The sequence below is a fragment of the Homo sapiens genome, chromosome 10, assembly GCF_000001405.40.
Source record: "Homo sapiens chromosome 10, GRCh38.p14 Primary Assembly".
Taxonomy (NCBI): domain Eukaryota; kingdom Metazoa; phylum Chordata; class Mammalia; order Primates; family Hominidae; genus Homo; species Homo sapiens.
In genome coordinates, this window is record NC_000010.11 from 126,466,530 (window position 1) to 126,482,126 (window position 15,597).

At 44.2% G+C, this 15,597-nt stretch overlaps 1 protein-coding gene across 15 annotated transcripts in view; it reads right to left on the reverse strand.

The window, feature by feature from the left end:
• The window catches only part of C10orf90 (chromosome 10 open reading frame 90), a 245,697-nt gene that overhangs the window by 41,533 nt on the left and 188,567 nt on the right, over positions 1 to 15,597 (reverse strand). Inside the window, exons 5-6 of one of the 15 annotated variants that reach the window (NR_146939.2) lie at positions 11,721 to 11,842; positions 3,223 to 3,630 (exon numbers count right to left, since the gene is read on the reverse strand). The exons of 12 other annotated variants lie outside the window; for them this stretch is intronic. Coding sequence is in view for 2 of the 3 variants with exons in the window: in XM_047424563.1 (XP_047280519.1) it covers positions 3,210 to 3,591 (382 nt within the window). In the remaining variant the exon portion in view is untranslated. 2 more of the 15 variants (XM_047424563.1, XM_047424562.1) reach the window with 2 other exon arrangements.

Sequence of the window (15,597 nt, forward strand, 5' to 3'; positions counted from 1 at the left end):
CCAGCCAGTGGAAGCAGGCTGTGTGGGGTGGGGCCAGGCTGTGTAGTACAGAGGGAAGAGCAAAAAGTCTGGGGCTAGAGGGCCCCCAAAGCACCTTCCTGGACATGGGATCCAGCACAGGTGAGGCCACCTGAGAGCCATCAATTTTCTTATTCACCAAGAGGGGAAGAAACCCAGCTTTCCATGTTCTTATGCACAAATAAACAAAATGTAGGTCCAAAGTACCTGCAGGCCCCAGTGTTGGATACATAGAAAGTACCAAAAAGAAAGAAACTGTTATCAGCCTTTGTCATTTGGAGACGTTTGACTACCTATTATAAAGTTGGCTTTGCTAAATTGTACAGAAAATATGTTTCCAAACTTTTATTTCAAAACATTGGTTCTGTTTAAGTACAAAATATTACAGACAGGAAAAGTCTGACAATAGTCATACATCACTTTCTTTTATTAAAGCTCTCTGACAGAATCAAAAACCAAATTAGTTATCAGTGATGCAGTCTCAATCTGCCAGGTGATATGGATCCATCCTGGAGTATGATTTTTTAAATTAATGTATTTATTTATAGATTTACAGAGATCAGCTGGCCAATATTTTAATCTATCTATCATCTATCTATCTATCTCTGGTTTATTGTAAATTTTTATGTGAATGAGCTTGTGTAAGTCAGATGTTCAGGCTGTGACTTGGAAGAGTTAAAGCAACTCAGAGAAAATAGAAGGTGCTTAGTGTACTGGAGAAAAGAAATATGCAGCCAAAGAAGGACTTTTCTGACTACTGATTGATCAGGTCTCATTTCATGCATTCTGAAACGTACAATCGTCAGCTGTGCAGTCACCCTCAGGTGGGCCCTCGCAGGACAAGGCGGCATGTGTGCTCTTCTCCTCCCATGCACTCCACGTGCGAGTGGGACCGAGTGGGCTGAGAGTTCTCAGTTCATGCCCAACATGCTAAACTGCATCACCCCACTGAGGACCCACAGTCACTGCAGGATCTGGCCATCTCGAGAGCAGCCTGCCAATGAAGCCACTTATCCCGGGCATTTCCATTCACTGGACGGGCGCTTAAAGCCCCCGTCCTGAGTCTGACACATGGAGAGGGCTAGGCCATCATGAATGTCCTTTAAACAGAAACATTCCCCATATCCCCTTTTCCCACATTGGTTGACATGCCGTAGCGCAATAATCTCACAAACTTGATTATCCCAGAATTAAGCTATGCAGCAGGAAGTGAAAAAAACCAACCAAAATATTCTGCCCAACAGTTGTAAATTCCTTCTGTTATTGCAAAATCCATTATATTTACAATGTAAAGATATTAAACAGAGCACCCACAAAGTTACCTCCTAGATTAAGAATTGGAATATTTCCTGGGCTTCAGACATCTGAGCTACTCTTGGATGGCACCCACCCACATTCTACGAGACAGGACCACTCACCTCAACTGTGGGTTACTCCACATTCTTTTTGTCTCTTAATTTTCCCACCTATGTAGGTACCCTTAACCAATATGTTTTTATATCAAAATTCTGACTAGCAAGCACAAAGCTAGCTTTTTTTTTTTTTTTGACAGAGTCTCGTTCTGTCACCATGTTGGAGTGGCACTATCTTGGCTCACTGCAACCTCCGCCTTCCGGGTTCAAGCAATTCTCTTGCCTCAGCCTCCTGAGTAGCTGGGATTACAGATGCCCACCACCACGCCCAGCTAATTTTTGTATTTTTAGTGGAGACGAGGTTTTACCATGTTGGCCAGGATGGTCTTGATCTCTTGACCCCGTGATCTGCCTGCCTTGGCCTCCTAAAGTGCTAGGATTACAGGCGTGAGCCGCCGCGCCTGGCCAAAAGCTAGCTATTTTAAGGTAAGGACATCATTGTATCTGTTAGATAAAAGCTTCCAGAGGAGGCTTCAGCAGGTTGGCTGGGCCATAGCTTTCATGTGAGTTTATGGGACCTGATTCTGGGGAAGAAAGTAGCAAGGGATGAATGAGTTCTGGACACCAGGGACTGATCACGGTTGGCATCAGGCAGGGCTGGCATGTGTCCGGGCATGCTGGCAGGCAGGAGTAGCACCAGGGGAGTGGGCTGGTCTGGATTTTCTGTTCCTGACCTCACCAAGTTCAACTGCAGGCCTTAGGGATAAGTTGAAGCAGGACATTCTGCAGTGAAATGTGAGCCCTGTGGAAACCCATGCAGGGCAGGGACTGGGGGTGGCGGAATTTCAAGGACCTCAATGACACATCATCAAGAACAGCCGAGAAGAGGCATGCATCTGGGCTAGGTGGGGACACCACCAGCCCATGCAGGTCCTTAGGACAATATGAGAAAAAGATGGGTCTCTTTCAAGACATTTTACCTCCATTGGCCAGAAAATGTCACCACAAGCCAATCTGATAGAAAAAAGATACTTTATTATCTCTCCAAATGTACAAATCTTCGATGTTCTTATATGAGCCCCTGTTGAGCCAGTGGCCCCCTACATGCACACAGTCTCATAACTGTGGCAATTTTGGCACAGTAGAAAATCAGAAAGCATGAGTGGTTGCTAAGGAGAGAAACCAGTACAACAGCAAGACTGTCAGTCACATCTCAAAGGAAGAGTAAGAAAACTATGAAAAGCAGACACACGAGCCGGGAGGGTACAGCTGCCCAGGGAATTTTAATAGCCAAGGTAGGTAAATGACATACAGAACTCACATTAGAATCATTTATATCCAGATTAGTTTAAATTGTGTTAAAGGCATTCTGGTATTGAAGATGAAACTTAGCTCTTTAGAACATTCATTCACTCAGGAAGGGAAAGATTGTCTCTGAGGTTTTGGGTCACAGCTCTGTGTAGCCTCCTGCCCTCTTAAAACAGACTTCAACCAACCACTCAACCAAAAAGACCTCTCTGAACAAAGCAGGCCTCCCTGAGTGTAAACCACACATTTCCTCCACATGCTGATGTTCTGGGCGGTGACGTTTTCTCCCTGCAGAATCTGGGCCATCTTACAACCAACTGTGTCTTAAGAGTTCCAGTAACCCAAGCTTGTGTCATTGTCTCTGGGCCATCAACATAAACATCAATTTCTCAACTCAGCTGCAGGGTGGCCCTCAGCATCTCCTAAAAGCCCTAATGCTCTTTGCCATGAACCTAAACAGCCCCAGACTGCCTTCTGCCCTCAACACCTTTGCAAAGCTCTCGGGTCTGCATTTTATATGTAGTGTCTCACCTCTTCCTCTCACCTGGGTTCTCTTCCAGCAAGCTCTATAACTACAGCATCTAACTGGAAACCAGTTAAGAGAGATTGGCAGGCTTGGGTGTCTGTTGAACACCCACTCTGCATGGGCGCCTGCAGGTGAGTTGAGGACTCTCCTTTGCTGTCTCCTTTTGGCAAGCGAGAGGCTGCTGCAGAGGGGAAGGAAGGTGTTCTTCTGCATGCAATAAATACGTTGCATGCTGCGGAGGCAGGGAAGGCATTCTTCTGCATGTTGTGTCCTGCAGTGGAGGGAAAGGCATTCTTCTGCAGGATGCATGCTGCAGAGAAGGAGGGAAGGTGTTCTTCTGCATGTTGCATACTGCAGGGGGGAAGGCACTCTTCTGCATGTTGTGTCCTGCAGTGGAGGAAAAGGCATTCTTCTGTAGGTTGCATGCTGCAGAGGGAGAGAAGGCATTTTTCTGCATGTTGCATGCTGCAGAGGAGGAGGGAAGGCATTCTTCTGCATGATGCATGCTAATCCATGGACATGGAGGCCATGAAAGAGGAAGGAAGAGGCAGTAACAATGGGTACTCCAATCGCACAGCTTTTCAAGCAAGTGTTGTTTGCTTTATTCTTTTCCTTTCAAAGGAGAGAGAAAACCCAAAACCACCTCCAATTACAATATGTGGAAGATGAAATAAAAGAAAGTCAAGTTAATTTGTGGCCTTTTAAAAAACAAGAGGTTGAGCATGGTGTCTCACACATGTAATCCCAGCATGTTGGGAGGCTGAGGCTGGAGGATTGCTTGAGTGCAGGAGTTCAAGCCCAGCCTGGGCAATATAGTAAGACCCTAACTCTACTAAAAACTAAAAAACAAACAAACAAACAAACAAACTAGCCAAGCATGGTGGTATGTGCCTGTGGTCCAAGCTACTCTAGAGGCTGAGATGGGAGGATCACTTGAGCCCAGTAGTTCGAGGCTGCAGTGAGCCATGATGGCACCACTTCACTCCAGCCTGGGTGACAGAACGAGACTCTGTCTCAAAAAAAAAAAAAATACAGAAAGGAAGAAGAAAAAGAAAAGAAAGAGAGAGAAGAAAAGAAAAGAAAACAGAACAGAACAAGCCTATTAGATGGACAAGACTGGTAGATATTTTCTCTGCTTTTTTTTCTGGTTAAGGCTTCAACTTTTGTCTGCAGGTTAAAACTCTATTTCCTCACGTGGGATTGGGTCTCCATTTGGTATCTCTGTATTTCACCGCATCCAGACTTCTGTTTAAAATCAACTGATAATTGTTTCAGCACATTTCTGTTCAATTTCTATGTAGTGGCATTGCAGCCCAGGAAGGGAGTCAAAAAAGGTAGGAGGAGGCGGATAGCAAATGGGATAAACAGCTCCCGGCAGAGAGGATGGAAGCAGTGAGCTGCGTTACCCACAAAGATGATCCACAGCAAAAGCAGAGCTGGAGCTGGCGCCACTGGGAAAAGGAAGGAGAGAGAAGGAATGGGAATGCCAAGGAGGACAGCCAACCTGAAAATCAACCCGCAGGGATGAAGAGGCAACAGCGGGGCTGGAGGAAGCAGACATGGAGGGGGCCTTTCCTCGCCAGAAAACCAGACTTCCTACAAATGCCTTTCTAGACAGTAAGCAGATTTCTTCTGCTATAAACGTCAACCATTAGAACCTTTTCTCCCTAAAGCTGCAGACCTCAGGGGCAGAGGGGCTGATGACCAAGAAATCAGACTGACTTGTAAACTGTGGTAGTGATATGTGAGAAAAGCCTTCCTTCTTCTGGGAGCTTGGGCAGATGGTCAGGAAGGGAGAAACATAGTTAAGATGTCAATAGGGTGTTAGGATACTATTATGCAAATTCAGTGATCAGAAGCACCCTGTGTATTCAGAGAAAAAGGAAAAAATCCCAGCATATTCAATGTTATTGTTCTAGTGTCAAGTTTCAAGGTACCATGTGGGCAATTGTGCAGGCAACTCTCATTTGACGTAAAGACTCACATGTAGTTGCTGCAAAGTAGGAATATATATATCTACCCACACAAAGAATATATAGAAAGGACTGGATAACTAGCCAGTTCTAGTTATTCATTATTATTCTGTTATTAGCTAGTTATGATTATTCCAATAATGTCATAAACCTAGAGATTTTCAGGTTGATGAACAGAAGTCTTAAAAGGTAACAAAACTATTTGGAAGGCAGAAATAAAACACACACACACACACGTGCACACACTCATGCCCATTTCCTAATAACAAGATTACTTCGACTACATTGCGAACATGATCAACAGAAACAAGTTTCAATTAATTATTAGATCACATCTTTCTACCTTCCTTTCAGGAAGTAGAGTCCCAGAATATCAGTTACCCTACAGTCCTTTATCCCCAAAGCATGGCTCAGATTCTGGAAGCACACAGAAACATAACTTTAAGCTTTTCTTAAAACTTACTGCTAAAGTTTCCCAAAGTGACCCTTTGAAGTAATAATTATTTTCATTAAGACATTTCCATTTAAAAAATCTTTTTCTAAAGTATAAAAGCAATAAATGATCACTGTAAAGAAAACCTGACCTATAGAAAAGTATTAAAAATTAAAATACTGACAATCTGACACTCCCCAAAATGCTCACGGTATTTGTCTCTGGGAGCTACGACATATTTCTAGTACATTAATATATGAGCTTTTTCCTTCATTTCTTTCATTTCCACTTTGGATACAGCTTGTAACTCAAGTGGGTCACCCTCTCTCATACTCATACCCACTGACACATAACAGCACAGGTTCATCGAGACATGCCTGTTTGGGAGTGGACTTGGGTGGTGGGCTCCTTGCTGTTGATGGTTCTCCTTTCCTGGCGCCTAGCAGTTTCAGCAGGCTTTCATGTCTCCTCCCATTCTTGCTTTCCTGGGTACTCTGACAATTACCAAGCAGGCAATGCTGCATGTTAAAAATTGGAAGAAAAAAAAATCAAGGTAATCTTCCAGGCGTTGAAGGGAACAGCATAGAGGAATGTTGACCAAGGTCCCCACAGAGTGAAATGTCTGCTCAGGACCAGATGGTCACCCCAGAATTACTGGACATGTACGTGCACGCAAGCATGCATGTGTGTGTGTGTGTCTGCGTGTGTGCATGTGCATGAGTGAAGAAGGGAGGTGGCTTCCATGTCAGACTTTTAACCTACTACCCTCATCTGAGGGTACTGAGCCTTTAGCATTCCAGGGAAGGAGGAAACAAAGTTTTTTTGTGGGTTTCTCCTGCTCCCTCAAATAAATTTTTTGACTTCTCTTCAATTTAACTATTTATTGAGTAACTACTATGTGCCAGGAAATGTTATAGGGCACTTGGGATGCAACAGTGAAAAAACAAAATTCCTGCCCTCATGCCTCCTACATCCAATGGCCATCATCTCCACACCAGCCCCACATTCCTACAACCACAGCTGCTTCAGCTCTGAGTTTGTAGATTAAAGGCTCCTACTCTCTGACTACATCCACTAACTCTTCCAGCTCACAGAATGCTACTCTGTTCATGCCTATTACTCAGAATCACTGAGCCCTCAAGTCCCCACCACCTCTGTTGTCAGGCACAGCTGGTTGCCTAACCAATATCCATTTTTGGTTTTTTGTTTTAACTTAGAAAACCCCCATTTTGTTCAAGATGGCAATGGTCCTAGCTAAAAACATTTTGGCATCGTAGGCCACTGCTCTGGCCAGTGAGATATAAGTAGAAAAAGTCCTTTGTGAGAACTGAACAGGTCTTGAGAGGAGATGGTCCACACAGTATTTAGTGTGGATGTGGATGTGAAGGCTGGAGTCCTGGCAACTACTTTATGAACATAATAATGAGAGCCACACCTAAAGGAAATAGAAAGGAAGGAGTCAGGTTCCAAAGCCATACCCTCCCCCAGGCTGCCCACCTCTGGATTTTTATTTTTTTTTTACAATAGATACGCTCTTACATTTTTAAGCCACTGCTTTTTGAGTATCTAGTTACTCAGAGTTAAACACAAGTCCTAATTGATCTATCAAGGTATAAGAGTAGACAGATGCGTGGTAGCATAGAGCACAATCACATGGCATGTTTGTTAAAACTTAGATTGCTGGGCCCACTCTGGGGTTTCCAATTTAGTATATCAGAAGTGAGCCCCAGAAATGTTCATTTCTGAGTTCCCAAGTGATGCTGATGCTACTGCTCCAGGAACCATACTTTGAGACCCACACGGTTAGGTTTCATTGCAGTGAAGAAACAAAGAACAAAAGCAAGCAGATTTTGGTGGCACAGTGACTTGCTACTAAAAATGTGGTACACCAACCAGTAGCATTGATCATGCCCAGGAACTTGCTAGACACACAGAATCTGAGACCTCACCTCAGAGCCACTGAATCCGAATCTGCATTGTAACCAGTTCCCAAGTGGTTCACATGCATGTCCACATCTGAGGAGCAGGACCTGTTACATGGCCTGTGCAAGCCCGGGGGTCTCTGCCCATCATGGTCATTCAGGAAGGTCAAGGAGGCTCCATCTGCCTCCATGACCACGGGTGCTGAAAGGAGTGGATGGAATGGATCATCGCGCTGGCCCATCAAGTCTCCACTCTAGACGAGTCACCTCACTCAGGATTACATCAACCATTAATGTCAGGGTGGCAGGTGTGCAATCCCATCAGGTTCCCAGAAAGAGAACAAGAATAAGAACAAACAATTTAAGGACTCCTACAGTCAGCCTGGCTTTCTTCTTTCCTGTCCTTCAACTACTCTCAGAAAAAGGACTACAGAAATTTAAAATAGTGTAAGTACAAATGTATCTGCTAGAACAAAAACACAAACCTTCTTAAATACCAAAACAAATAAACAGATGTAAATGCATATATAGCAAAGAATACATATCTTGGAAAGAAATATCGCAAGTATGAAAAATAAAAATAATTATTAAATTATGATAATGTTGACACCAAACATCGGTCATATCAATAAATGTGAATGGACTTAACTTATCTTTTAAAAGAAAAAGATTTTCAATGTGGCTTGTAAAACAAGGGAACTTTGGCAACGCCTGACAAAGCCACATCTGAACGTAACTTGCAATTCAGCCATTCCCCTGTGAGGATTCCACTCTGATGGGGCTTACAAGATGGCCTGCAGGCCTCCCCCAACATCATCGGCTCATTTGCTTTGTCCTCTGTCAGCAAGTAAGCCAAGGGCAAGCCGCAGAGATCTAAGGACGAGGGGTGAGGCCAGTGGGGAATAATGGCCCTTCCATAGAAGGAATGGACATCATTTTGATTTGCATTTGGGCAGACCAGGTGGGATCCTTCAGATAATCAATTCTGACTCCAGCACTGAGCAGTGAATGTCACCTGTGCTGAGCAGTCCAAATCACCAAACAAATATATCCAACATGTGGGAGCTGGCTGAGAGAGCCCTGGAGAGTCTTTGAGCTAATGAGCCTGGTCAAAGGGACGTGGAGAGAACTATTTTGAAAGCCAAAAGGCAGCAAGCCACAAAACATCTTGAATGAGACTAAAACTTGCAGGCAGTCTAGGGAGGGCCCCAGCTAGATCAGTGAGTGAGGGCTCATGGATACCAAATTAAGGCCTTAATCATCCCTCAACTATTTTCATGCTTAGGCTTAAGCCCCAGGATGGTCCACACACAAGCAGATCTTGATGTTCCTAATCTTGACTTTCCTACATTTTAGAATATCCCCCTACAACAACTTCCATGCATCGATTTTGAATATTGGCACATCGACTCACCACAGCCTCCTGCTCAGGACGCCGCCTTCATCATTAGCATGGCCGTCATTCTTGTTTGGACAGCTGTTTCCTGGCAATAATTTGAACATATACTACATTTTCCCCTCTTTATAAAAATGAGTAGCAAATGGGCATATGAGTATGCTTGGCAAAACTTAATAACTTAATTAAGTTGAAGATGGAGATCATTAGGTGCTGGAAGAAGCAAATCTTTAACCTTAATTCATGGTCATGGGACTTAAGCCAGAAATGGGTTGATTTCATGCTGAGTTGTGAAGGAAATGAACAAAATTGAAGAGTCAATTTGAAATGTGAAATATATATGACCAAACAGTAGGCCTAAGGAGGAGTTACAAAATCAGAGGTTTTATATTACTGTTGAGAGCTCTGATCACAGAATCCCCTTTCTAATATGTTTTTTTGATACGTATTCAACGTCCAAACGTATTTTCAGGACTAAGGGATCCATGGTTTTGGTGCTTTGTGGGCTGGGGCCAGGAAGCAGACAGGCTTACCTCGCACAAAATACCTCCACTTCCTGCCTCTCCCGGTCAGGTCAGTCCTGTTCCTCCCTCCAGCCCCGTCAGACCCTCATTTCCATTACAAGATCTAGAAACCCCATTTTAGGAAGATATAAATATCTTAGAGGATTCCATGTCAGGAAAGGAAGTGAATTCCAAGGCTGCAGGATTCCCGTGGAAAAGGCCCCGAGTTCCACTTCTCAGCGCTCCTGGGGCCGCTGGAAGCGCTTCCTAGCCCGGCTGACATCATCTCTCTGGTTTTCTCAGACACTTTTTGCAAACCTCAATCACATCAACCCAAATTCTCAGCTGGAAACACGTGGCCCTGTGTGCATCTCCTTCTAAGAATACTGCGCCCTTTGAAGAACTATTTTTGACAATCAGAATTGGAGACAGTCCCTAGGGCCTCTGAAGAGAAGCACATGCCACATGAAAATAGTCACTAAGAATAAATCAAGCCACCAAAGGAGCCCGCGTCAGTGCAGGCCAGGCCGCAGGCAGGATGCAAGGAAGGCGACACTGACCCCAGCTGGTTTTCTCTGCCTCCGTCTCCTGTGACTGCGAGGCTTAGACATTTAATATCCTTCTGTTGCCGAGTCCCTCCCCAAATGACGACCATTTCTCAATGCAATAAACAGGTGCTGCGGCACCAGACAAATGCTCCGCTTTCTAATCACTCCCATTTAACGCGGACTTCCGGAGTTATTTCTCTTCGCTGAGAGTAACTCATAAGAAACAAAACATATCTGGTTTATGGCTTTGCCCCTTGAGACCACTTAGGTATAGAAAATAGAAATATGCTTAACTGCTTCTTGAAAGCTACCGTGAATATTTGTACCTAGGAAAAGCACTTCCTTTACACCCTAAGAAGGGAGGGATTTCTTTTGGAAAATCAATGTATCACCATTTTCCTTTTTTTTTTTTTTTTTTTGAGGGGGAGTCTCGCTCTGTCGCCCAGGCTGGAGTGCAGTGGCATGATCTCGGCTCACTGCAAGCTCCGCCTACCGGGTTCACGCCATTCTCCTGCCTCAGCCTCCCCAGCAGCTGGGACTACAGGTGCCCAACATCACGCCTGGCTAATTTTTTTTTTTTTTTTTTTTTTTTTTTTTTTTTTTTTTTTTTGGATTTTTGGAGCAATGTGGAGAAGGCAAACTTGTGACATTTTTAAGTGCTCAGTGAATACAGCTGAGTGTTGTTTTATTTAAGCTCACACCACTGGCTATGAATTATGTGGAATGACTGTGGGATGTGCACAATTTTTCCCCAGACCTTCTCCCCATTTTTGGGTCAGAATATTCAATATTTTTAAAGAACATGAAAAAAAAAAAAGATAGTTGATTTCTTTTCATTGGGCTTTTAAACCTCAGAACACCCCAGTCAAATTTTCCCAAAGCTTCTCTTAGGAAGATAGGCCTGCCACGTTTCACACCCTCTGGGTCTACGTGGTACCTGCCACACTCCTTTGTGTTTTGCCTTGACACTTTTCAAAGAAATCTTTTTTAGAGCAAGTACAGATCCCCTTAAAAAGTGAGTTTTCAGGAAGCTGGTCTTTAGGTTGCATTTGCTTGTTTCTTTAAGAAAAAAACAAAAGAATGGTCATTGTTAACATCTTACATGTTAGCATTAGGGAAGCAGGGCCAGGGGTACTAGTAGCTCTTTGTACAGTTTTTGCTCCATTTCCCTAAGCCTAAACATGCAATGTTTCTAAAAGTGGTCATTTGTGGTAGATTTAAAAAGTTCCTCATGGAATAGGAGTTTTTTATATAGTTGAGTCACTTTTCAGCAGCTCTGCCATACATACAATCTCTGCATCTGTTGATTCACCAGAAATGGCATAAACATATCTGTAAAATCCTGTGCTGTAGTTCTTAAAGCACCCAGGTACATCTGATCATGGTGTAGTTCCCATCAATCTGTTGGAGAGATAGGTCATCAGCTGCTCAGAATCCCACCAAGCCCAGCTCTGCTGACTCACGCCCCTGGCAGAGTCCCCCAGCGAGAGCATGAATAAAATCTCTCAGGGTGGTTGGTTTGTGACATGGCATCGTTTGAGAAAGACGAAAGGCATTGGAACTAACTTGGAATACAGGCCCTTGGAATAACCTGGGATCCTTGGAATAAATAACTGGGACCTATGGTTGGTTTGTGACATGGCATCATTTGAGAAAGACAGAAGGCATTGGAAGTAACTTGGAATACAGGCCCTTGGAATAACTTGGAATCCTTGAATAAATAACTGGGACCTATTCCCACCTGGTTCTGCCACCCTTTAAGTGGGTGACGATGCACAGGTCACTCCATCCATCTGGTCTCAAGTTCCTCATCTACATCACAGGCTGATCGCCATCCTGCTCCAGGAGGGAGAAATGGGACCACTGGAAAATGCGACAAGAACAATGCAGTGCACAAACATGAGCCTTTGTTATAATTGACTCAGCCCTAGGATGGCCCATAGCTAAGGCACGACTTTAAACAGGGGATCTGTAAGTGACATAGACTTTGTTCTTTATTTTAAGTCTAAGAAAAAATATATACACACAAGATGATACAGAAAGGCAGGAAGCCCGTTTGCTAAATCTTTGACCCACCTCTCACCCCCGTGCTCAAAGATGGCTGTTTCCTGCCCTTTTTGCCAGAGTCACTGGATGAAGGCCAGATGAAGATTGATGCGAGTTAGGGGTGTGACCATCTCGGAGGGTGAGCTAAGGGCTGTCCTTTGACTGGAACAAACCAAAGCGTGCTGGGGGAGGAGGTTCTGCTGTCCAACACCCCTGGCCTTGGTCTTGTCCTTTCAATGTGCCAACTCCTTTCTTGTGTTGTGTCCCCTGGGGAACAGGGGAGAAGGATATGGAGCTGCCTGCAGGAACTGGAGGAGATCTGAGATGCTCAGTGAACTTTAAATGCAAAACAGGAATGAAGCGGGGGTGACATCAGCCTCTGCCCCTCTGTGCCCTTCCCTGCTGGAACAAGCATACTCTCTCTTCTCACCTTCAAAGATGCCCTTAAACACCTTGGTCAGATTCATCTGGACACCAAAATTTGCACTAGGGTGGGGAATGGGGCTGAGAAGCATATAGTGAGATTTGTGCTGAACTCCCGCTGTACCGCAGGGTGTGAGGAGAAAAAGAACATAATTGTCCAAGGCCAAGCAGTGAATAAGAATGTCTGGACCCTTCTATGACAAGTCTGCAAGCACTGAGGGAAGGGGCTGTGCGTTATTCCAATGTGGGCGGTCCTCCTGATGGGCTTCCCATGGAGCTGGGGCTCAGGTTCATGCTGGTTGAACTGAAATGAATTACAATTGCACAAATTTATCAGAAAAGACCAGTCAATGGGACAAGCTCTAGGGTCACACTGGTATACACTTTGGAGTTGGGGAAGAAAATCCAGTAAGAAGGGGGCTCAGTCCAAATGGCATGGGATTTCTGGTAAGTCATGCAGAGCCTGCCCATCCCAGATCCGGAGGGCGAGGAGCTGGGCCAGAGAAGGTGCTCCTGGGCGCTGAGCTCCTGCGAGGCCCTGATTGTTCAATCCCAACTCATCCTGAATGGGAGTCTGAGTTGGGCAGGACCCACCCCCTCCAGGACGCAGCTGACAACAGGCATGGCAGCAAGGCCTCCCCATGGTTACAGGCCTGCTGTTATTTATACACATGGGGGTTATTCTTTTCCTCCATGAAGACGCCTTTCTCCCATTAAGGCTAATGGAAGTCATGTGGCTGAACTGAAGGCATTTCATTTTCCAGATTTTCTAAAAATAAAATGCAGAGAAGGAAAACATATGTATTGTTTCTATTTGGGATTTTAAGAACATAAACAAAAAGGAACCAGAGAGATTCACTGCCCAAGACATCCAGTTCCTTCTCGATTATAATAGCAGACTGGTTACTTGTCATTAAATTGGTTTCGATGTGGGATAACATGACATCTTGCTCAATTTCTTACATGGACACAGTTTAAGTAATGCTCTTTTTATCCCTTGAAAAATATATCCCATCTTTTCTTTGATGACCAGGATACTGAAAGGTTTTTATTGGCTAGTGGAGTACTGCATTCTGGTTCAAAAGATCTGTATTCCAGAAAATTTTACTGGGAAGAATATTTTTAAAAAGATAAATTTATTTTCCTAAAGACTTTTATTATTCACTTGTGATTATGTATGGCCAAGATAAAAAGGTGCCTCTTGGATATAATAAAATCACACTTAAAAACACAAACATACTTTTACAGTAACGTTTAAAGTGTGATAAAATGTTAGTACCACTCAAAATGCAAGTAACACTGTGGGCCAAACTCAAAATGTCACTAAAAAGCAACTGAAAATAAAGCTCTGTTCTGCTTTGTCTCATGTAAATATAGTAATTTCTAATTTGGCAAAATTTGCTCAGTCTTCTGTTGGCTTTAACATTCTAATTTTCCATGTAGGACCATTTCATGGTTCAGGGCACTTTTCCCATTGCTTGAATTTACAGGCATGTTTAAACACGGCTATACCTCCATGTACCATTTGGCCCAGAGCTTGGGAGCTTTCAGGCACATCAGTCTCTGCCTGGAGATGAAGGTTGTCCCCAGGGACTGGTGAACATACAGCGGCCTGCCCACTGTCACATGCATTTGAAAATGATCAGTTAATGATTAGGACCTGTGCTAACCTTAACCATCACATCCCTTAGTTCAATGAATTCTTTACCTCCAGATCTAGGCATTAAGTCAACCCCTGCTTCCCTATGTTCTGCATGGAATCCATATGCAAGCACTAATTCTGCATAACTGAAACATCCCTGCAACTATACTCTCTCCATCCCCACCTGTACCACTCACTAGGTGGACTCTCTTGCTTTGTTGACTTTCCTGCTTCACCCGAGATCTTGAGAATGTAGGTCAGGTTATGGTAATGCTCAGCTTAGATCTCTCTGATGGCTTTTCCTCCCACCTAAAATAAATCGCAAACTCCTCCTGGTGTGATCGGGCCTCTGCTCACCTCCATGAGCCCAGGTGTCCCCTCTCTGCCCCTCTGCTCTGCAGTCCCACTGGTCTTGGTCTCATCCCTTGAATGTGCCAGCTTCATTCTTGTGCCATGTCAGAGGCTTTTTGCCAGCTGTTCCTTTGTCCTCTCCAGTGTCACAAGACAGGCTCCTTCCATCATCTGCAGATCTTGGCTGAAATGTCAATCAGAGAAGCCTTCCCTGGCCACCCATCTAAAGGAGCCAATGAGTAGCCAGCCCAATCACATCATCTGACTTCAGTGCTCTACACAAGCTCTTATCACCATTGAAATATCTCACTTGGAAGTGTCTATCTGTTGTCCATTTGCATCTATGCAATAGCAAGCTCCATGTCAGCAAGGACCTTGCTTTTGCTCACTGCAGTGCCCAACACCTAGATGACACATGGCACTCAATAAACATTTGTCAAGTGACTTATATCATCATTTAACTAATGGCTCATGTCAAGTGACTCACATCATTTAACTGATGACTCCTCACGGATTTCATTCAGCCAAAAGAAAAATTGGTTTGAGACAGAGTCCACATCCCAAATGGCAGAGGCATTTCTGCATTCTCTGGCCCTTTGTTTTTCTTGCACCATTCCCTCTGTGTCAGGAGGTTGTTGGAAGCCTGGCTCCCACTAGCTGGGCCACCATGTTGGCAGGTACCAGCGTTGGGGCTCAGAAAACACCACCCTAAAATGAAGAAGCCAAGTTTCTGACTTTCTCCTTCCCTCCTATCTCTCCCCGTTCATCCTCCTCCAGGGCAGGTCACAAAAACTAGAATGCCTTGTTCCAAAGACCAGCCATAAAACCTCCTCCCCAAGTTGGGCCACACAAACCAGAATGCCTTGTCCCAAAGACCAGCCATAAAGCCTAAAATGATGACTCTAATCTTCTTCCCACCTTTCTGTGTAAAAGCTGACCATAAAGAAATTAAGACCCTCATTCCAGAGGGGTTCTTACCCCATACCTAGGAGGAAGAAATGCTACAAAAGAGAAGCCAAGACGAGTCTGAACAGACAGTCCTTACTAGGTTTCCCCAGTCTATTACCATTGGCTCATACTTTTTTTGTCCAATCACATTTCTACATTTGTCTCTACTTTGCTGATTCTAAGCATAAAATCAGATGGCTTCCATGAA